This window comes from Homo sapiens, chromosome 12, assembly GCF_000001405.40.
Source record: "Homo sapiens chromosome 12, GRCh38.p14 Primary Assembly".
Classification (NCBI taxonomy): domain Eukaryota; kingdom Metazoa; phylum Chordata; class Mammalia; order Primates; family Hominidae; genus Homo; species Homo sapiens.
In genome coordinates, this window is record NC_000012.12 from 50,207,945 (window position 1) to 50,230,233 (window position 22,289).

The 22,289-nt window shown below is 43.0% G+C and overlaps 1 protein-coding gene across 12 annotated transcripts in view, besides 4 other annotated features; it reads right to left on the reverse strand.

The window, feature by feature from the left end:
* LIMA1 (LIM domain and actin binding 1) overlaps nucleotides 1–22,289 on the reverse strand; it is a 107,733-nt gene that overhangs the window by 32,157 nt on the left and 53,287 nt on the right. For 9 of the 12 annotated variants that reach the window (NM_001394892.1, NM_001394891.1, NM_001394890.1 and 6 more), the window contains one exon: nucleotides 14,077–14,541. In NM_001394892.1, the coding sequence (NP_001381821.1) occupies nucleotides 14,077–14,541 (465 nt within the window). Of the gene's footprint in view, nucleotides 1–14,076; nucleotides 14,715–22,289 lie in introns of those variants that run through there. The other 3 variants (XM_047428969.1, NM_001394893.1, NM_001113547.2) reach the window with 3 other exon arrangements.
* Nucleotides 10,260–11,459: an enhancer, noted in NCBI's record as "MED14-independent group 3 enhancer chr12:50611987-50613186 (GRCh37/hg19 assembly coordinates)". NCBI's record gives its function as "activates an origin of replication core promoter dependent on BRD2, BRD4, P300/CBP and CDK7 cofactors, and independent of MED14, by STARR-seq in HCT116 cells {active_cell/tissue: HCT116}" and the evidence as "EXISTENCE:reporter gene assay evidence [ECO:0000049][PMID:35650434]".
* Nucleotides 13,940–14,791: an enhancer, noted in NCBI's record as "H3K27ac hESC enhancer chr12:50615667-50616518 (GRCh37/hg19 assembly coordinates)". NCBI's record gives its function as "activates a minimal SCP1, AML or CMV promoter by ChIP-STARR-seq in naive H9 embryonic stem cells {active_cell/tissue: H9 hESC(naive)}" and the evidence as "EXISTENCE:reporter gene assay evidence [ECO:0000049][PMID:30033119]".
* Nucleotides 14,631–14,690: an enhancer, noted in NCBI's record as "active region_6350". NCBI's record gives its function as "activates an Ori minimal core promoter by ATAC-STARR-seq in GM12878 lymphoblastoid cells {active_cell/tissue: GM12878}" and the evidence as "EXISTENCE:reporter gene assay evidence [ECO:0000049][PMID:35858748]".
* Nucleotides 14,721–14,770: an enhancer, noted in NCBI's record as "active region_6351". NCBI's record gives its function as "activates an Ori minimal core promoter by ATAC-STARR-seq in GM12878 lymphoblastoid cells {active_cell/tissue: GM12878}" and the evidence as "EXISTENCE:reporter gene assay evidence [ECO:0000049][PMID:35858748]".

Genomic DNA, 22,289 nt, shown 5'->3' on the forward strand with positions numbered 1-22,289 from the left:
CCCCTCCTTGGAGACAGAAAACATACCACATCAGAAATCAGAGCCAAGGATTGGTCTGTTTATACCACACCAGTAAGAATAGTTTCTTTCAAATTCAATATATATTTAATATATCTCCCAAGGCTAGGCACAGTGGCTCAAGCTTATAATCCTAGCACTTTGGGAGGCTGAGACAGGTGGATCACTTGAGCCCAGGAGTTTGAGACCAGCTTGGGCAGCATGGCAAAACCTTGTCTCTACAAAAAAGATACAAAAGTTAGACTGGGCACGGTGGCTCACGCCTGTAATCCCAGCACTTTGGGAGGCCGAGGCAGAAGGATCACGAGGTCAGGAGTTCGAGACCAGCCTGACCAACATGGTGAAACCCCGTCTCTACTAAAAATGCAAAAAAATTAGCCAGGCGTGGTGGCCCGCACCTGTAATCCCAGCTACTCAGGAGGCTGAAGCAGGAGAATCGCTTGAACCCAGGAGGCGGAGGTTGCAGTGAGCAGAGATCAGGCCACTGCACTCCAGCCTGGGTGACAAAGCAAGACTCCGTCTCAAAAAAAACCAAAAGTTAGCTGGGCATTATGGCATGCGCCTGTAGTCCCAGGTACTCAGAAGGCTGCAGTAGGAAAATTGCTTGAGCCTGGGAGGTGTATGTTGCAGTGAGCCAAGATCATGCCACTGCACTCCAGCCTGGGCAACAGAGTGTGACCCTGTCTCAAAAGAAATAATAAAAATAAAAATATATTATATACATATTACATATGTGTGTGTGTGTATATATAATTTGTCTCCTTGCTGGGTTTGGTGGTTCATGCCTGTAATCCCAACACTTTGGGAGGCTGAGCCAGGAGGATCCTTTGAGCCTAGGAGTTCAAGACTAGCCTGGGCAACATAGGAAGACTCCATCTCTACAAAAAAGAATACAGTGAGCCGTGACCGCACTACTGCATTCCAGCCTGGGTGATGAGTAAGACCCTGCTCAAAAAGTAATAATAATAATTTATATCCAGTCAGCTTTGCAATTTATATTGTTGATTTAAGTCTATTTTTTCTTTCTTTCTTTTTTTTTTTTTTTTACAGTAGAGACAGGGTCTCACCACGTTGCCCAGGCTGGTCTCAAACTCTTGGGCTCAAGGAGCCTCGGCCTCCCAAGGTGCTGGGATTACAGGTGTGGGCCACTGCATCCGGCCTGATTGGGTCTATTTTTAATAAAAACTAAAACAAGCTGGAACAACACTATCCGTGCTACATCACACACAGGTCAGGCATACTTTCATGAATTATTATACATCCATATGACTCACACAGCTCAACATACTCTTGCTCTAGGAGCAGCCGCTATCTGAAAATGAAGTGGTTGGGTGCGGTGGCTCACACCTGTAATCCCAGCACTTTGGGAGGCCAAGGTGGGTGGATCTCTTGAGGTCAAGAGTTCGAGGCCAGCCTGGCCAACATTGTGAAACCCTGTCTCTACTAAATATACAAAAATTAGCTGGGGTGGCGGTGCGCACCTGTAATCTCAGCTACTCAGGAGGCTGAGGTTGAGAATCACTTGAACTTCAGAGATGGAGGTTGCAGTGAGCAGAAATTGTGCCACTGCTCTCCAGGCTAGGTGACAGAGCGAGACTCCATCTCAAAAAAAAAAAAAAAAAAAAGAAAAAAGATAATGAAGATCTTGGTCAAAAGGAAAAGATATGTCTGGCAGGATACCCTCAATCCACATTTTTAATTTTTATTTATTTATTTATTTTGAGACAGAGTCTTACTCTGTCACCCAGGCTGGAATACAGTGGTGTGATCTCAGCTCACTGCAACCCCCACCTCCTAAGCTCACACAATTCTCCTGTCTCAGCCTCCAGAGTAGCTGGGATTACAGGCGTCTGCTACCACACCTAATTATTTGAGTTTTTGGTAGAGTTGGGGTTTCACCATGTTGGTCAAGCTGGTCTGAAACTCCTGACCTCAAATGATCTGCCCTCCTTGGCCTCCCAAAGTGCTGGGATGACAGGCGTAAGCCACCGCGCCTGGCCCACCTTTTTATTTTGTTTTCAACATACTTCTTATTTGCTGATCATTAAAATAAAGAAAATTCCACATATTTATTCCAAATGCTGCTGCACTGGAAGATAACCACTACAAAAATTAGAATTTTCAAAACTCAAAATGGGAGAAAGCCTACTGATAAACTTCTTTTGAAAAACCAAAAGGGGCCGGGTGCAGTGGCTCACACCTGTAATCCTAGCACTTTGGGAGGCCGAGGCAGGTGGATCACTTGAGGTCAGGAGTTTGAGACCAGCCTCGCCCACATGGCGAAACCCCATCTCTACTAAAAATACAAAAATTAGCTGAGCATGGTGGCACGTGCCTGTAATCCTAGCTACTGGGGAGGCTGAGGCAGGAGAATCGCTTGAACCAGGGAGGTGGAGGTTGCAGTGGGCCAAGATTACTGCACTCCAGCCTGGGCAACAGAGCAAGACCCCATTTCCAAAAAAAAAAAAAAAAAGAAAAAAAGAAAAGAACAACCAAAAGGAAACGGGTTCTGTGTTCTTAATACAGATATTTGCTTTCTGTCAAAGTTCAAGCACAATTCCAAGAATATGTGTTACATGTTACAACCTGCAGAGAGCTGTTTTCTGTCTAGTTGGAGCTACACATCCTTCTCTGTCTTGTGTGAAGTCCCTGCACTGCTGTTATTGGGAGCATAATCATTTAGAACCAGAGCATACACCTTGCCAGGGCAGAGGCTTTCTTTGGTTTTAAACGCATAAAATTTCCCATCTTTGTTAGCTTTTAATTTAAACTGCTGGGTTAATTAAATAAGGCCCCCTTACCTTTTTTTTGAAGCCTTTTGCTCCATGGGGGTATCAAAACTCTGCATTAATTTATTTCAAGTACTAAAAAAGTACATGAACAAAGCCATTTGGTCTCAGAGAAAAATAGGAAGAGAACTGTCTCTGAAAAATCCCTCATACAGACTGTGGCTCTGAGGAGAAACACAGCTGTGAGGTAAGATGGGTTTTCATGATATCGCAGGTTCAGTGAAGCACAGCATTACTTTCAATATATTTCACCTTTAAACCACTCAAACATTAAGAATAACAAGGCTTGGCTGGGCATGGTGGCTCATGCCTGTAATCCCAGCACTTTGGGAGGCCAAGGCAGGTGGATTACCTGAGGTCAGGAGTTCAAGACCAACCTGGCCAACCTGGTGAAACCCCATCTCTACTAAAAATACAAAAAATTAGCCAGGCATGGTGGTGGACACCTGTAATCCCAGCTACTTGGGAGGCTGAGGCAGGAGAATCACTTGAACCTGGGAGGCAGAGGTTGCAGCGAGCCAAGATCACGCCATTGCACTCCAGCCTGGGCAACAAGAGCGAAACTCCGCCCCACCCCCCCAAAAAAAAAAAAAAAAAAGAATAACAACAAGGCTGGGCGTGGTAGCTCACGCCTGTAATCCAGCACTTTGGGAGGCAGAGGCAGGAGGGTTGCTTGAGGCCAGGAGTTTGAGATCAGCCTGGGCAACATGGTGAGACCCTGTCTCTGCTTTAAAAAAAAAAAAAAAAAATTAGCCAGGCATAGTGGTGATGCCTGCAGTCCCAGCTACTCCGGAGGCTGAAGTGGGATGATTGAGTCCAGGAAGTCGAGGCTGTAGTGACCTATGATTGTGCCCCGGCACTCCAGCCTGGACGATATAACAAGGCCCTGTCTCAAAAGCAAGCAAACAAACAAACAAACAAAAATGATCTCAAATGCATTTAAGATGAGTTTTATGATCCACATTTTCCAAGTGGTAATCTGAGGTACAGGAAGAAGGAGGGGTTTCCTCCAATATTTCTCAAGGAAGTAAAGGAACACAAAACACACACACACACACACACGAATTCTGATACCAAAATACTCTTCTGTAACAGACTTTTATCACATTTTAGCTCTTTTTACTCAGACACTTGAGGGAGCCTTAATCATTCTAATGTCAAGGAAAGAGAATAGACAAGATACTTTTAAGACTTTCTGGAATTTCCTGAGGCCTGGCCTCACCCACCCTGAAGTCCTCCTTCCTGTCAGCTGACAATAACTCTTGTTAGTATGAACATCCCTTAAATATTCTCTGTGAATCCATAAATCAAACGCACCAAGATGTACTAGTAAGAGGATAAAAGTTTTAGACAGTAGTCTGTAGAATTTTTTTCTGTATTTTTTAAAACAGAAATAAAGTAAGTTAGGTTCTAAATAAGTAACAAAGCAGGATTTCCTGTCTTTTCTACACCTATCTTCAGAAAAAATTATCTTTAAAAGCTGATTCTCAACACTTTAATTTACTGAGAGTCCCCTGCCTCACTTAGCCACTTCCTTCAACCTTTCAACTTCAGCTTCCTTTGGACGCTGTCATCTCACCAAAGTCAAGGGCAGAGGAAGGTTGGCTTTTAGGGAAAAATGGAGCTTTGCTGAACTATGCATGGAAATCGGGGCATAGATAAAACCTAGCCTTGATTTATTAAAGTATTGAGAGAAAAATTTCTTTCTTCAGGGACTCTCTTAGAAAGAGAGTTAATGTAAGTAAAATAATACACATAGAAAGAGATTTATCTCCAGGTGGTAGGATTTCTCTACATTTTTTGTATTCCCAAGCATTCTACAAATACTTTGTGTTAGTCTTACAATTAGGAAAAGAAAAAAAAAAGAAAGGATAACAAGTCATATCTATTAATTTAAGTAGACAAAAATGGTAAAACCAAATGCTAATGCTTTGGGGAATGTGTCCTTATATTGTACTAGTGGTGTTATAATCTTGAGAACAAGCTGAAAATATATAAGAATAAACAATAAATCATACCTTTTGATGTAAGAACAATGTTTAATGAATTATATCTTTTTAATTTTATTTTTTATTTTTTTTGAGACAAAGTCTTGCTCTGTCGCCCAGGATGGAGTGCAGTGGTATGATCTCAGCTCACTGCAACCTCTGCCTCCCAGGTTCAGGCAATTCTCTTGCCTCAGGCTTCTGAGTAGCTGGGATTTCAGGCGCATGTCACCACGCCAGGCTAATTTTTGTATTTTTAATAGAGATGGGGTTTTGCCATGTTGGCCAGGCTGGTCTCGAACTCCTGACCTCAAGTGCTGGGATTACAAGTGTGCCTTGTGCCTTGGCCTCCCAAAGTGCTGGGATTACAAGTGTGAGCCACCACGCCAGGTCCCAAACTCACAAGCTTCTAACTCCAGTGCTTTCATTCATATCTCTTGCATTCCAATGTATTCCTTCTGTTCACTGTCCTGATGCTTTTCAATTAGTTAAGCATAAACTGTGGGAAGACAGAGTTAAAGTCTTTGAGAACATAGCTGTTTTTATGTTTTCAATTTTTGCCAGTTTCCTTAGATTTCAAAGATATGTAGGGCCCATTGTTTCTATCCAATAAATAGTTATTATATCCATGAAGATAGTGTTATATGGTAGAAGGGGTACTACCCAATTTCAATCCTGTTCTGATATTAATTAGCCACATGCCATGGGGCATATCAATTAACTTCTCTGACCTCATCTAATCGCATCTGTAAAATTGGGATTGTAAAGTTCTAACTGACTGAGGGCAGTGAGCTGGATTAAATAACTTCTTAAACTCTCTTAAGGTTCTAGGATCTATATGTCAACAATTTTGATAGCGATTTCTCACTCATTGTAACTCACTGATGAGTTAGAATGAGTTAGAAGGCTAGAGGAAATGACTTGTAAATATATTCATCTGGATACACACCTGTGTTGTCTAATTTAGGAATGAGCCCACTAGCAGGAAGACAAAGGTAGTAATATTTGTACTGGGGGGAGATGAAGTCTTTCTAGCCCCCTTGAAGTCTAATATAGCCAACATTGCTTAAAGAATATTCCAGTCCCCTGACATTGCTTGTTGATATGTTTTACTATAATGAAACTGGTTAAAAACCAGTACATAGTTAGTGGACATGAAAGTAAGCAGAGAAGAAGAGATGAGTGGTCTCTAGCTGGCACATCAAGGACAGTCATTTAGGGCAAGGAACAGTTAAAAAGATTGGAATTCTTTGACTGCATCTTTACCCTGGATCAATTATTATCTTACCACACACACACACACACACACACACACGAGATTACTCAGAGTTATTAAGAGTAAATAAAAAATTTATGCTGATATGTAGTCTTTACAAGAAATGTACCACTATAAATAGATGTCAGTCAAAATAATGCTGAGGATAGCCTTATTTACATTTTTGAAATGACAAGAGAAGCTACAAACTATAGGTGAATATGCTAAATCAGCAAAAAGTTAGTTTTACCAAGATATGTAAGAAAGTGCATTGATAGAAAAACAAAGACAATTCTTGTGTACAATTAACAATAACATGCAAAACCAATTATCCACATTTAAAGCACTAGCAATGTATCTATTGAAGATTAAATGTTAGGTCAAGGTAAAAGTGAAGATTCACTGACAGGCAAATTAAAGATATACTCCCCTACATTGAGATGACTGTATAGACTCCACATTGATGTTAATAGTTATTCAAATACCTTTCCTCCCCAAACTTACTTTAAAATTTTAACTTAAAACCATGCAATTTGGCTGGGCGCAGTGGCTCACACCTATAATCCCAGCATTTTGGGAGGCCAAGGTGGGGGGATCACAAGGTCAGGAGTTCAAGACCAGCCTGACCCACACGGTGAAACCCAGTCTCTACTAAAAACACAAAAATTAGCTGGTGTGGTGGCATGCGCCTGTAATCTCAGCCACTCAGGAGGCTGAGGGAGGAGAATCACTTGAACCCGGGAGGTGGAGGTTGCAGTGAGCTGGGATTGTGCCACTGCACTCCAGCCTGGGCGACAGAGCAAACAAACAAACAAACAAAACTATGCAATTAATACAATTATGAACATCCTCAGAATTGTATTCTTCTTGGGATATAATTCTAAATAAGACATATTCAGAAAGCAGAAGAAAATTTTTTATCTTAACGTTAAGTAGATAAAGGAACACATACAATTATTAACTAAGAGGAAGATAAGATGTTATGAATAATTTCTGCAACAATCTGGGCATTCCCTATGGACACCTACCCATTCATCAAGAAGGCCTATATAAATTATTTCTTTGATGCAGATTACAGATTGGCTATGAATAAGTACCTGATGAACAGAGATCATCACACTTTAGCTTGGTTGCCTTACTCTCTAAAGACTCATTCTACTACATCAGCGCATATACACTCTTATGTACGAGTGTTATGCAAAACTAAACAAAATACCAAGTGTCACTTCCAGGAACTTACAAGAAGAAAAACCACAAAGATGTTGGAACAAGTGAAGTTTTTGTTGGCATTTTGATGCTATCTATACATATCATGATCCTGGTGCTAATAAGAACTGAAATTCAGAGGGAAGCTGAAGGGCTGGGAGTCTACGGGGAGAGGTCACAAACAAGAGAAAAGGGTGATGAGTCAAAGGAAACTTCCTTTGTTATTTTATATATGTCTATTTTACCTGAATATATTGCTTTATTTATTTTATTTATTTATTTATTTTTCTTTGAGGCAGTCTCGCTCTGTCGCCCAGGCTGGAGTGCAGTGGCGCAATCTCGGCTCACTGCAAGCTCCGCCTCCCGGGTTCACGCCATTCTCCTGCCTCAGCCTTCCGAGTAGCTGGGACTACAGGCGCCCGCCACCACGCCCGGCTAATTTTTTTTTTGTATTTTTAGTAGAGATGGGGTTTCACCGTGTTATCCAGGATGGTCTTGATCTCCTGACCTCGTGATCCGCCTGCCTCGGCCTCCCAAAGTGCTGGGATTACAGGCGCGAGCCACCGCGCCCGGCCTGCTTTATTTTTATAATATAAAATCCCAGCACTTTGGAAGGCCGAGGTGGGTGGATCACTTGAGGCTGGGAGTTCGAGACCAGCCTGGCCAACATGGCAAAACCCCGTCTCTACTAAAAATACAAAAATTAGCCGGACTTCGTGGTGCACACTTGTAATCCCAGCTACTCAGGAGGCTGAGGCAGAGAATTGCTTGAACCTGGGAGGCTGCAGTGAGCTGAGATGGTGCCACTGCACTCCAGCCTGGGCAACAGAGCGAGGCTGTCTCAAAAAAAAAAAAAGGCAACATGACAATAACTAAACATGGGTCATAACTAGTTGGTCAGTTATCTTTTTCATAAAAGGCTGTCCTGAATGGTTATCTTGGCCACCTAAAATCCAGATTAATACATATAAGGAATTAGGAATGCTAAACCACACTCACTAAGTGTCACCGTGGCATTTCTTTTCTTTTCTTTTCGAGAGAAGTTTTGCTCTTGCTGCCCAGGCTGGGATGCAATGGTGTCATCTCAGCTCACTGCAAACTCTGCCTTCTGGGTTCAAGTGATTCTTCTGCCACAGCCTCTTGAGCAGCTGGGATTACAGACATGCACCACCATCTCCAGCTAATTTTTGTATTTTTAGTAGAGATGGGGTTTCTCCATGTTGGTCAGGCTGGTCTCAAACTCTCGACCTCAGGTGATCCACCTGCCTTGGCCTCCCAAAGTGCTGGAATTACAGGCGTGAGCCACTGCTCCCAGCCCACTGTGGCATTTCTTTTGACGATAGGTTACATTAATCCATATACCACTCATTCACTCATAGGAAGTAGAACCATCACATTCAGGCTGGGCGCGGTAGCACTTTGGGAGGCTGAGGTGGGCAGATCACCTGAGGTCAGGAGTTCAAGACCAGCCTATCCAACATAGTGAAACCCCATCTCTACTAAAAATACAAAAAAAGTTAGCCGGGAATGGCAGCGGACACCTGTAATCCCAGCTACTCGGGGGCTAAGGCAGGAGAATTGCTTGAACCTAGGAGACAGAGGTTGCAGTGAGCCAAGATTGTGCCACTGCACCCCATCCTGGGCAATAGAATGAGACTCTGTTTCAAAAATAAATAAATAAAACCATCATATTCAGCTAAACCACCTGACCTAAATAACCTATCTATTCATCAAATGTAGAGAATAACTGAGAAATAGGCTTTAATCAATTTTCATTATTTGGAAGGCAGCTATGCTTACCACTATACCACCAATGCCACCTTCCTTTTATTAAATAAATACTATGAACTAAGTTATTGACCACTAGGGTATAAAAACATCCTTACTTTTCTTCTTGAATTTATAAAAATAAGTTTTTATTTTTGCCTTATCTAGTAGCAAACATAAAACTATCCTGACTTAAAAAGCCAACATTGTTCTTTCTCCTATTTTTTCCTTGGATCACAAGTTCATATACAGTCAAGCAAGCACCCCAAAAATCCCAGAATTGAAAACAGGTGTATTCCCTTCAGAAAAATCAAAGCTAGAATGTTTAGCTATTAAAGTGTTTCTCTCCAGACTGAGATCAAGTGACTTCACTGCAGTGGCTCAAGAGTGGCTGACTCCCTCCTTCCAAATCAGCCCATCATAGAACACCTATTGCTAAATAGCAAAAGCCAGAGGCTTAGACTGGATCCCTCATAATTGGAGACTTCAAAGTGTTCAGAACTTCAAGCCTGGCCTTTGAAGTAAAATCTTTTTTTTTTTTTTAAGTACAATTGCAATTTTTTTATTTTTCTCCAGAGGCTAGTTTTTCTTCAGTCCTTAAGAACTCTGCTCCTTATATGGGCTTCGGTGGCAGTCATGGGGCAGCACCGCAGGTCTACAGTGGGGTGGAGGTGTTCGGTCCTTGCGGGCTTCATGACCTTGATTTCTGGCGGTCGTGGGGCAGCACCCGCAGGTCTACAGTGGGGGGAAGGTGTTCGATCCTTGTGGGCTTCATGACCTTGATTCCTGACTACCGTGCTGTGAATGGCACAACTCACACAGTAATGTAGCTTCACATCCAGCCTGGGAAGTACACAGGCATCTAGGACGCTCACTTCAGAAATATCGCTGACTGCCGCAGCCTCTACATTTCAAGCATTTCAAGTGATGAATTTCTTTTCTTTTTTTTTTTTTTTTTTTGAGACGGAGTCTCACTCTTGCCCAGGCTGGAGTGCAGTGGCGTGATCTCGGCTCACTGCAAGCTCTGCCTCCCGGGTTCACGCCATTCTCCTGCCTCAGCCTCCCGAGTAGCTGGGACTACAGGCGCCCGCCACCACGCCCAACTAATTTTTTTGTGTTTTTAGTAGAGACAGGGTTTCACCGTGTTAGCCAGGATGGTCTCAATCTCCTGACTTCGTGATCCGCCCGCCTCAGCCTCCCAAAGTGCTGGGATTACAGGCGTGAGCCACCGCGCCCGGCCTATGATGAATTTCTTAATAAGCCTTGTCATTGGGCACACAATGGGCACAGTTTATGCAGCAAATTGGCTGCAGTGAATAGCGTACACCTGGTTGCGGCCCTCTTTGGTGTGACCATTGTTTCTTCTTTTCTTTGTCATCTTGGAGGTACAGGCCCAAGAAAGATGAAGTAAAAATCTTAATTTGAGGGTGACTAAATGAGTGCTTCAAGACCACTTACCCCAAATCCACATTCTGCAAGACAGTTCAAGAAAAAAGGCAAAGTAGCCGTCTACCTCAAGGCTATGGGCTCCACAGTACTTAGCACAGCTGTACCCAAATGTAAACACTTCCCATGGCGTGCTTCTTCCCTGTCTCCCAGGTTAGTCACAATGATGCCAAGGTGCTCTGTCATTGACATTCTCATCCTTTAAGAATTTCAGGCTGGGTGTGGTGGCTCATGCCTGTAATTTCACCAGCTTGGGAGGCCAAGGCAGGAGGATCACTTGAGCCCAGGAGTTTAAGAACAGTCTGGGCAACATAGCGAAACGCTGTCTCCATAAAAAATTTTAAAAATTAGCTGAGAGTGGTGGTACACACCTGTGGCCCCAGCTATTTGGGAGGCTGAGGCAGAGGGGTCAAGGCTGCAGTGAGCCATAACTGTACCACTGTACTCCTCCAGCCTGGGCAACAGAGTTAAGACCCTATCTCCATAAAAAAAAAAAAAACAAAAACAAAAAAAAAACGCATTTCAAACAATAACAGCAGTTTAATTCTTCCTTTGGAATCTAGGTAAAACTGGTCTTCTCTATAAAGTCTACTATGTTCTGGTCTCATTTCAAAAAGTATAAACACACTGAAGTTAAAACGTGAAATATTAAGAATAAAAGATTCAAAAAGTAGCAGTTGGGGGATGAGTATTCCAAGGTTTGAGTATAAGATTGGCTGTGAGACTATACAGGTAGGTTGAGCTCAGACTATAGAATACCTGACAGAACTGTTAAAAATAATCTAGACTGAGACTGGGCGTGGTGGCTCATGCCTGTAATCCCAGCTCTTTGGGAGGCTTGAGGCAGGCAGATCACCTGAGGTCAGGAGTTCAAGACCAGCCTGACCAATATGATGAAACTCCGTCTCTACTAAACATACAAAAATTAGCTGGGCGTGGTGGCGGGCGCCTATAATCCCAGCTATTTGGGAGGCTGAGGCAGGAGAATTACTTGAACCTGGGAGATGGAGGTTGCAGTGAGCCGAGATCGCACCAATACACTCCAGCCTGAGTAACAGTGAGAGATTCTGTCTCAAAAATAAATAAATAAATAAATAAATATAATCTAGACTGTTTTCAGTATGGACAATGATGCTTATTTACAAACAGCAATAAAACCAAGGGTGGCTGTGTTTTCCACTCCCTAAGCAGTCCATTAAGTGACAAATCAGGAAATTAAAAATGGCACACACAAAAAGCAATGAAACCTAGAAGCCCAGGTGAATCTTATGTCTCTTCCATCTTCTTGTTTTTAAGGGACAGGGATCTTACTGTGTTGCCCAGGCTGGAGTGCAGTGGCGATCATGGCTCACTGCAACCTCAAACTCTCATGCTCAAGCAATCTTCTGCCTCAGCCTCCTAAGTAGCTGGGACTATCAATGCATACTACCACACCTGGCTAATTTTTAAATTTTTAGTAGAGACGAGGTCTGGCTATGTTGCCCAGGCTGGTCTCAAACTCCTGGGCACAAGCAATCCTCCTGCCTTGGGCCTCCCTAAATTCTCATTACAGATGTAAGCCACCGTGCCCAGCCTCTTCCATCTTCCTATACCTTTAGCAATCAATCTGGTGGCCCAGTGCTATCAGCCATCTAGTAGGATCTTTATTTTTATTTTTATATATTTTTTGAGACAGAGTCTCACTCTGTTGCCCAGGCTGGAGTGCAGTGGCATGATCTCGGCTCACTGCATCCTCCACCTCCCAGGTTCAAGTGATTCTCCTGCCTCAGCCTCCCAAGTAGCTGTGACTACCAGCAACGCCACCATGCCTGGCTAATTTTTGTATTTTTAGTGGAGACGGGGTTTCACCATGTTGGCCAGGCTGGTCTCGAACTCCTGGCCACAAGTGATCCCCCAACCTCTGCCTCCCAAAATGCTGGGATTACAGGCTTGAGCCACCACGCCCGGACTAGTAAGATCTTATATGGAAAGTTTTTCTCCTCTCCAAGCAGCCTTAGGGAGATAGGCTTGTTCTGACCCATATCTCACTAGATATTTATGAGAAAAAGTGTCTCACCATATCCTTACACATAATCAGCATTTTTGTCTGCTACAGTCCCAGTCATTTCCTACCTTTGGCCAGTTTCAACATGCAGCAGCCTTTTGCACTGAATCTACATTGTGTGTACTGGCATGACATCAGCTGTCCTGTTCCTAGCAGGGTCTGGGAGGAGGAGACTTACAATGGTGCTTTGAGTCACAACAAAACCCCTTCCTCTCTATTTAGGATTTCTGACATTTTTTCCTTCCACTTAAAATTCTTCTTCCCATTTAAATAAAACAAATTTTTAAATTAAAACCATAAAGGGGAAAGAAGGAGTTGGCAGGACTAAAGGTCTAAAAACTTGAGAGGGAAGAGAGTTAAGAAACGTTATAAAACTGCTTTGTGGTTACATCTCTTGCCAACTGGTTTCACTGTTAAAGTAGAGCTAAAGCTCATGCACAGAGAAGTGTTGTAGCTTTACACATCGTCAAAAACTCGCACAACTTCAAACATGACCCGCAAACATTCAAGAACTTTTCTAATTCTAAGTAGAAAAGTGACTGGCACTGCAAGTCATGGGAAGGGATTGACAATATCACATCTAATATAACTGAAGACTACAGGATGAGTTATTTTTTATCTCAGAAAGAATGCTTAATATTATTATATTACTTTCCAAACATAGGGACTTGGGCCAAATATTTAGCTTAAAAAAAATCCAGCTTTCCCATCTAGGTGGAATCTAGAGTAACAGATGGTTTTGCTCCCCATCAGGTCTGTTTATTTCATTATAACGACTGTTGTAACGAACCATCCCCATGTACAAAGCCAGATATATAGGAAAGTATGAGAAAACTGGAAAAATTTACCAGCTCTGTGGCCTCTGGATTGTGTTATAAATCACCAGCATATGTAACTCATTTTCTAGTTAAGTAATTCCCTCTGGGGACGAGGTCTGCAATCCACATGAAGGATCAAATTTCATTAGCAGTTGTAGGAAAACGCAACCCTGTGCATTTGCAAGTCAAAACTCCCGAAAGCTATAGCTAGTCTGGCTATCTTCATTGATTTTGCCTGAGAGAGGATTTTAGCTGATAGAAAACATTTGTTGGAAGGCACAGATGAGGAAGTTGAGAAGAAGAGAAGGGATTCAGCTAGCAGAGACAAGTAAGCCTCAGTCTTAATGTTAAACTCCGGCCTTAACACTCAGTCTGCAGCTGTGTCCAAGCAGAGAGCTATTCAGCAGTAATTCCACCCCCAAAGCTACAAATGATAAAGAACACAGGAAGACAATTTAAAAGGGCAAGTGTACAAAAACACATAATCCAATCGGTATTAAACTCTCTTCATTTCTAGATACCAATTTGAATCCCAGTGTGAACCTGATTTAACATGAAATTGTGTCAGAGACTCACAAATCTTAGCATCTATGTAAATAATGCATTTGAGACTATTAACTTATCTAACTGGAATCAAAAGACATACTGACCACATATTCGCCTCTACTCAAAATAGCTAGATTGGAAAAACAGCTTTGTTTAGTGCTTGAATTGGCTTTCTCAAGTTTCAAACCCGCCCAATTCTTACCTTAGTTTGAGTTGGTTCACCTTTCTCAAACATCATCTTAAGCCTGTTCAGCGGAACATTATATTTCTCTATTTTGCCCGAAGCATCTGTGTTTTCACTGATTTCTGATTTTTCTACTTCATGCCTGGATTCTCCTAGACAATTTTCCATTTTTTTACTTTCTGTTGAGTGGTCTTTAAGATCCTCACCGTCCTTGATGTGGGGATATCGACCCTGAACGAGGGCTTCAGGAGGTGACCTGAGTCTAGATCTGGGGTGGATTTGTTCTTCTTGGTCAGCTTTGGCTCCAGAAGCAGCGTGGCTTGTCACTTCAGCAGGAGGATGGTCTGCTCTGTGCCTAATCTCAGTGCTGCTGTTCCGTAGAGAGTCTGTGTGAGACTCTGCTCCCAGCCCTGGGTTCTCCCACTTCTTCTTTAACACAGTCAGGGTCCCCTTTCTAAAGTGCTGGGAGAGATTTTCGGTGTTCTAGAAGAACAAGAAGTAGATGCCAGTTATAACTTGCCTGCTGAAACATTCAAACATGTTGTTCTTTGTAAAATGAAAGTTAAAACTCCAAGCTGCTCCTGGTCCACTGCTGTTTCAGACAGCTGTGAACAGTTACAGCCTTGCCACATGGAGAAAGCATCCACCCGGCAGAGGGAGAGGGAGAGGGGAAGAGAGAAAAACTCAGGAGCTGAAGCAGGAAGTGATAAAACAGGATGGCCTTATAAGGACAAAATGAGAAGAAAGGCAAACCCAGCTCTAATGATAGTTACATGCGAAACAAGAGATTTTTACCCAAAGATTAATGGGGAAAAAAACAAGAAAGAAAAAGCAAAATACAAGTGCTTGAAACACTGTAACTACACATCAGCAAAGTTCATCATTACCTGCCATAAAATAACATGGTAAATTCTGCTGGGTTTTTTTTTCTTCTTTTAAATAAGACAAAGATGCAGGATAGTTGCAGGATAGCTGAAACTATACCATTAATTACGGATAGTGGCAGCAAGGATTGAAACAATTTGTAGAACCCTGGAGAAGTCCCCAGACTTTCCAAGTATTTGCATAAATATTTAGTTATATCTGACATAATTTACATGCATATGAGCAGTCAAATTTTATTTTTCATAAGAATTTAATCTTTTTTTTTTCCCTGCTCTTCTCTACAAGTTTATCTGTGTATAAATTCTCACTTATCAGGGCCAGGCACGGTGGCTCACGCCTGTAATCCCAGCACTTTGGGAGGCCGAGGCCGGCGGATCACAAGGTCAGGAGTTTGAGACCAGCCAGACCAACATGGAGAAACCCTGTCTCTAAAAAAAATACAAAAATTAACTGGGTGCAGTGGTGCACACCCATAGTCCCAGCTACTCTGGAGGCTGAGGCAGGAGAATCGCTTGAACCTGGGAAGTGGAGGTTGCAGTGAGCCAAGACTGCGCCACTACACTCCAGCCTGGGTGACAAAGTGAGACGCCATCCCCCAACCAAAAAAAAAAAAAAAATTCTCAGTTATCAAGAAATTCACTGTTTTACAGATCCTCTGGTTGTAAAATATGCAGGCTTCAAATGCAAATACCACTACTTATCACTCAGATGATCAAAGGACACACATTTACATATCTAAGAGAGTTCACTTTCACTAGGGCCAAAAATGGAATTAATTTATACATGTAAGACAGACTGAAAACAACCTGGAAATTGTCACTGTTGTTCCATAATAGAGGAAACACGCTTGTTGAAAATTAAATGTCCCGGCTGGGCGCAGTGGCTCATGCCTGTAATCCCAGCACTTTGGGAGGCCGAGGCGGGTGGATCACCTGAGGTCAGGAGTTCGTGGCCAGCCCGGCCAACACCGTGAAACCACGTCTCTACTAAAAATACAAAAAATAGCTGGGCGTGGTGGCACGCGCCTGTAGTCCCAGCTACTCAGGAGGCTGAGGCAGAAAAATGGCTTGAACCTGGGAGGCGGAGGTTGCAGTGAGCCCAAATCGCGCCACTGCACTCCAGTCCGGGTGACAGAGTGAGACTCTGTCTCAAAAAAAAAAAGAAAAATTAAATTAAATTAAATGTCCCGTACTTTGAAAGGACTGTACTCCTAAATAAATTGAACAGCACCACCTTCCCAACAAACTGCAAACTCCAATACCTTCTCTCCTGTAGTCTGTGACTCACCAGTCTTTCAACTAAGAAAGAAAGGACAAACAACCTAGGAATTAAACAGGATTAGCAGCTATTTTGGGAATTAAGTCTCTCACCCTATTACTCTTCTGAATATACTCTTGAAAGCCACTTCATCAAGTAGAAATAAGGCTTGAAAAGAAATTATAGAACTGCTTGATTCTAGTGTTTAAATTTTAGCTTACAAAATGATCCATTGGGGGAAGAATGTATGCATCAGAGATATAAGAAGCTTAAAAAGTTTTCTTGCTGGAAAAGAAGGAATTACAGAACAGCTCCAGAAGCTGGTTCTACCCTAACTGCCAGCAGCACTCTTGGCTCTGTAAGGTCTCGTGCCACACAATGGATGAGTCATCTAGGTCTCTGACTTCACCTGCCCTTACTGTAACCACACAGGAGCCCTGACAATCAAAGTGGCACTTTGCCTTGGTAACTGGACACTGTTTTTCTCAGATACCTATCATGTGATCAAAGTATACTTATTGACATGAAAAGATGCTCATAGGATACTTTTGAATGAAGAAAGCAAATTATAAGACAGCATGATCCTATTTTAATTTTTTTTTAGAGACGGGGTCTCGCTCTGTCACCCAGGCTGAAATGCAGTGGTGTAATCATAGCTCACTGCAGCTGTTTGACTTCCTGGGCTCAAGTGATCCTCCCACCTCAGCCTCCTGAGTAGCTAGGACTACAGGTGTATGTCAGCATGCCTGGCATTTTTTTTTTTTTTTTTTTTTTTGAGACGGAGGTTCACTCTTGTTGCACAGGCTGGAGTGCAATGGCGTGATCTCGGCTCACTGCAACCTCGGCCTCCTGGATTCAAGCAATTCTCATGCCTCAGCCTCCTGAGTAGCTGGGATTACAGGCATGTGCCACCATACCTGGCTAATTTTGTATTTTTAGTAGAGACGGGGTTTCTCCATGTTGGTCAGGCTGGTCTCGAACTCCCAGCCTCAGGTGATCTGCCTGCCTCGGCCTCCCAAAGTGCTGGGATTATAGGCATGAGCCACTGCGCCTGGCCCCAACTGTCTCTTTAAAATGTTCATAACATTATCTTATTTTTAATTTATTATTTTTCTCAATTAAAAAAGTAATAACTTATTGGGGGAAAAACTCTCAATCAATATAGAAATATGTACCCGACATGAATAGATGCTGTAATACATGCCATTTTCCCTACTTGACTCCCCACCTCTCCCAACCTAGATACCCAGTCCTGACAGTTTATATGGTATATATGTTGTCTTTTTTTCTATTTTGTACACTATATGTATTTTTTTGTACAAAATCATACTGTACTTACTGTTCTACACTTTGCATTTAATCACCTAATGTGCTTTTGATATCTTTTCATGCCCATACATGAAATCTTCAATCTTTTTTTCTTTTTGAGACGGAGTCTCACTCTGTCACCCAGGCTAGAGTGTAGTGGCACGATCTTGGTTCACTGCAACCTCTGCCTCCCAGTTTCCAGCAGTTCTCTTGCCTCAGCCTCTCAAGTAGCTGGGCTTACAGGAACATACTACCATGCCGGCTAATTTTAGTGTTATTAGTAGAGACGGGGTTTCACCATGTTGGCCAGGCTGGTCCTGACCTCAGGTGATCTACCTGCCTTGGCCTCCCAAAGTGCTGGGATTATAGGTGTAAGCCACCATGCCTGGCCAAAATCTTAATAACCATATAGTATATTATACTGTATGTGCAATTACCATTCCCCCACTGATGAATATATGTATTGCTCAAAATTATTTGCCAACTGTTTAGATTACAATTTATATCTCATTATTAATTTACATTTATCTGATCATCAGTGAGGCTAAGCATGTTTTTACACTGTTACTTCTTTGTTATCTATTTTATTTATTTATTTACTTATTTATTTTTGAGACAGGTTCTTGCTCTATTGCCCATGCTAGAGTGCAGTGGCATGATCACGGCTCACTGCAGCCTTGACCTCCTGGGCTCAAGTGATCCTGCCACCTCTGCCTCCCAAGTATCTGGGACCGCAGGCCCATGCCACCACGCCCAGCTAAATTTTTAAAATTTTTATAGAGAGGGTTCTCACTATGTTGCCCAGGCTCAAACTCCCAGGCTCAAGTGATCCTCCCACCTCGGCCTCCCAAAGTGTGGGGATCACAGGTGTGAGCTACCATGCCCACCCTCTTCTTTAAATACCTATTCACGTCCACTTACCTCAACTGCTAAAAGCACTGGAGGCTTCTGCTTTATTTTATCTCACTATAGCATCTGACATTACTGACCACTCTCCCTGGTAAAAATTGCTTCCAACTTTTCTGTGATACCCCTTTTTCTTAGATTTCTTCCCATTTTGAGATGCAAGAAGGGTGTAGAAAAAAACAATAATGAAAAAAAGATTTCACTGGGCGCAGTGGCTCACACCTGTAGTCCTGGCACTTTGGGAGGCCGAGGCGGGCGGATCACAAGGTCAAGAGATTGAGACCATCCTGGCCAACATGGTGAAACCCTGTCTCTACTACAAATACAAAAATTAGGTGGGCGTGGTGGCGTGCGCCTGTAATCCTAGCTACTCGGGAGGCTGAGGCAGGAGAATCGCTTGAACCCGGGAGGCGGAGGTTGCAGTGAGCTGCGATCATGCCACTGCACTCCAGCCTGGCGAAAGAGCAAGATTCCATATGAAAAAAAAAAAAAAAGATTTCTTCTCATTTATCTGGCCACTACTCAGTTTCATAATTTAGTAATTCTTTTTCTTTTTTTTTTTTTTTTACAGGTTTCTCCTCCTCTGTCCCTCCCTTATATGGTGGGGTCCCTCAGGGTTTTTGTCTTAGGTCCTCTGCTTTGCTTACTTTACATATTCTCTGTATATGATGTTATTCATCCCGATTTCACCCACCATATAGATTATAGTATCAACAAATACATAGATAGATGTATACTGTGTATCTATATAGACAGAGTTATAGAACTTATCTCTAGATAGACATCTCTCCTTTTCTACCAATTCTACCTGGAAGTGCTAGAGGCATCTTAAACTCCTTCTTGATTAAGGTTGAAGTCTTCACTTTCTTTTTTCTTTTCTTTTTTTTTTTTTTTTTTTGAGATGGAGTCTTGCTCTGTCACCCAGGCTGGAGTGCAGTGGTGCAATCTTGGCTCACCACAGCCTCTGCCTCCTGGGTTCAAGCAATTCTCCTGCCTCAGTCTCCCGAGTAGCTGGGATTACAGGCGTGAGCCACCAAGCCCGGCTAATTTTTTGTATTTTTAGTAGAGATGGGGTTTCACCATGTTGGCTAAGCTGGTCTCGAACTCCTGACCTCAGGTGATCCACCCGCCTCAGCCGGGATTACAGATGTGAGCCACCGTGCCAGGCCCGAAGTCTTCCCTTTACTCCTCACTCTCTAACCTGTTTCTTTTCTTGAATTGTCTATCTTGGTGAATGCGACAACCATCTTTTCATCTGTCAAGTAGGCCTGTTCTCTTATGCCTTCATGCTGTGCGTGTGCTGCTTCCTCCATCTAGAATACAAAGATTCTGCCACTCCCTGTCGCCTCTGCTTAGCTAATTCCTCTTGGTCCTTTAGGGTTGAGTCAGGCACTGCCTCTTCTGGGAAGCCTTTCTAGATGTAGCACAGTTCAGATCCCTCCTAAATTCTCCCCCAGCCCACTCTGAGTATTTATTTGATATGGTAATTTTTTTTTTCTTTTTTTTTTTTTTGAGACGGAGTCTCGCTCTGTCACCCAGGCTGGAGTGTGGAGTGCAGTGGCGCGGTCTTGGCTCACTGCAAGCTCCGCCTCCTGGGTTCATGCCATTCTCCTGCCTCAGCCTCCCGAGTAGCTAGGACTACAGGCGCCCGCCACCGTGCCCGGCTAATTTTTGTATTTTTAGTAGAGACGGGGTTTCACCGTGTTAGCCAGGATGGTCTCGATCTCCTGACCTTGTGATCCGCCCGCCTCGGCCTCCCAAAGTGCTGGGATTACAGGCTTGAGCCACCGCGCCGGGCCTGATATGGTACTTATCACACCTGGGTTGTAATTCTATTTTCCAAATTCTAAACAGTCCCTTTGGAGGTAGAGAATACATCTTATTCTTCTTGTGTCTTCAGGAGCTGGAACATAAGAGATGCTCCACATATGATTGTCTATACTCGTGGGGTCAACTTCTCTTAACCCACTGTCTTGAACCTAGTCCAATTCAGGCCTCTATTCTACCACTCCCAAACAACACAAGATGACCAATGACCTTCATGTTGCCAAATCCGATGGTCAATTCTCAGCTTACCTGTGTGTTTGATTCTGTTAACTCCCCTTCTAGAAACACTTTCTTCACTCGGCTTCTGGCACTTGTTTCCTCTGCTGGTTACTCCTTATATCTCCAACCTTTAAACACCAAGGTGCCCCTGAGCTAAGTCATGAGACCACTTCTCTGTCTACACTCACTTCCTAGCTTATATCATGCACCTCATAGCTTTAAGTACCACTGACACTTTGACACATGTCCATTTTATCCGCAGCGGGGATCTCTTCCAATTCTAGATTTTTATATAGTATCCAAGTTCCTACTGACATTTCCATTTGGATGTCTTAATAAAACATGTTACAGTTTACATGTGCAAAACTGAGCTTCTACTATTTCTCCCTCTCTAATCTGCTTTTACTGTAGTCTTCCCCATCTCAATTAATGGTATTTTAATTTAATTGTGTTTGGGCCAAAAACATTGTTGCTATTCTTTTATTTTTTACTTTTTGTAATAGAGATGGGGTCTGCTATATTGCCCAGGCTGATCTTGAACTCCTGACCTCAAGTGATCCTTCTGCCTTGACCTCCCAAAGTTCTGGGATTACAGGCACAAGCCACTGTGGCAGAGCCACTGCTGCCATTCTTGATTCTTCTTTCTCTCTACATTCAACATACATCCTGACCACTTCTCAACACCTATACTGCTACTACTCTAGTCCAAACCATATTATACCTGGCCTAAATCATTATAATTGTCTCTTAATTGGTCTCCATGCTCCTGCCATTATTGTTCCTCTACATTCTCTTCCTTCTATTTTTTTACATTTAAAAAATAGAGATACAGGGTCTCACTAGGTTGCCCAGGCTAGTCTTGAACTCCTGGCCTCAAGCAATCCTCCCACCTCGGCCTCCTGCGATCCTCCCGCCTTGGCCTCCTAAAGTGCTGGGATTAGAGCCTTCTCTTCAGCCATAAAAAAGGATGAGTTCATGTCCTTTGCAGGGACATGGATGAAGCTGGAAACCATCATTCTCAGCAAACTATCGCAAGGACAAAAAACCAAACACCGCATGTTCTTACTCACAGGTGGGAATTGAACAATGAGAACACTTGGACACAGGAAGGGGAACATCACACACACGGGGGCCTGTTGTGGGGTGGGGAGAGCGGGGAGGGATAGCATTAGGAGATATACCTAATGTAAATGACGAGTTAATGGGTGCAGCACACCAACATGGCACATGTATACATATGTAACAAACCTGCATGTTGTGCACATGTACCCTAGAACTTAAAGTATAATAATAAAAAAAGAAAAAAAAATTTAAGTCAGACCACATCACTCCTTTGCATATAAACCCTCTCCAAAGGCCTCCTTGCATTCAGAGTTAAAGCCCAGGTCTTTACAATGACACCATTTGACCTTTCTCTTCTATTCCTCAAACACACCAAGACTGTTCTTGCCTGAGGACATCCGCACAAGCGGTTCCTTCTGCCTGACTCTTCTCCCTGGCTCATGTCTTCAAATCTCTGCTCAAACGTTTCCTCACCACAGGCCTTCATTGACCACCCTAGACTCTATCCTCCTTACCTGCCTCATGCTGTTCCACAGCACTAATCACTACTGACACAATTTCTTTTTTAAATTTTTTTATTTTTTTTGAGACGGGGTCTCACTCTGTCGCCCAGGCTGGAGTGCAGTGGTGCTATCTCGGCTTACTGCAATCTCTGCCTCCCGGGTTCAAGTGATTCTCCTGGCTCAGCCTCCAGAGTAGCTGGGACTACAGGCATGTGCCAACACACTCAGCTAATTTTTGTATTTTTAGTGGAGACAAGGTTTCAC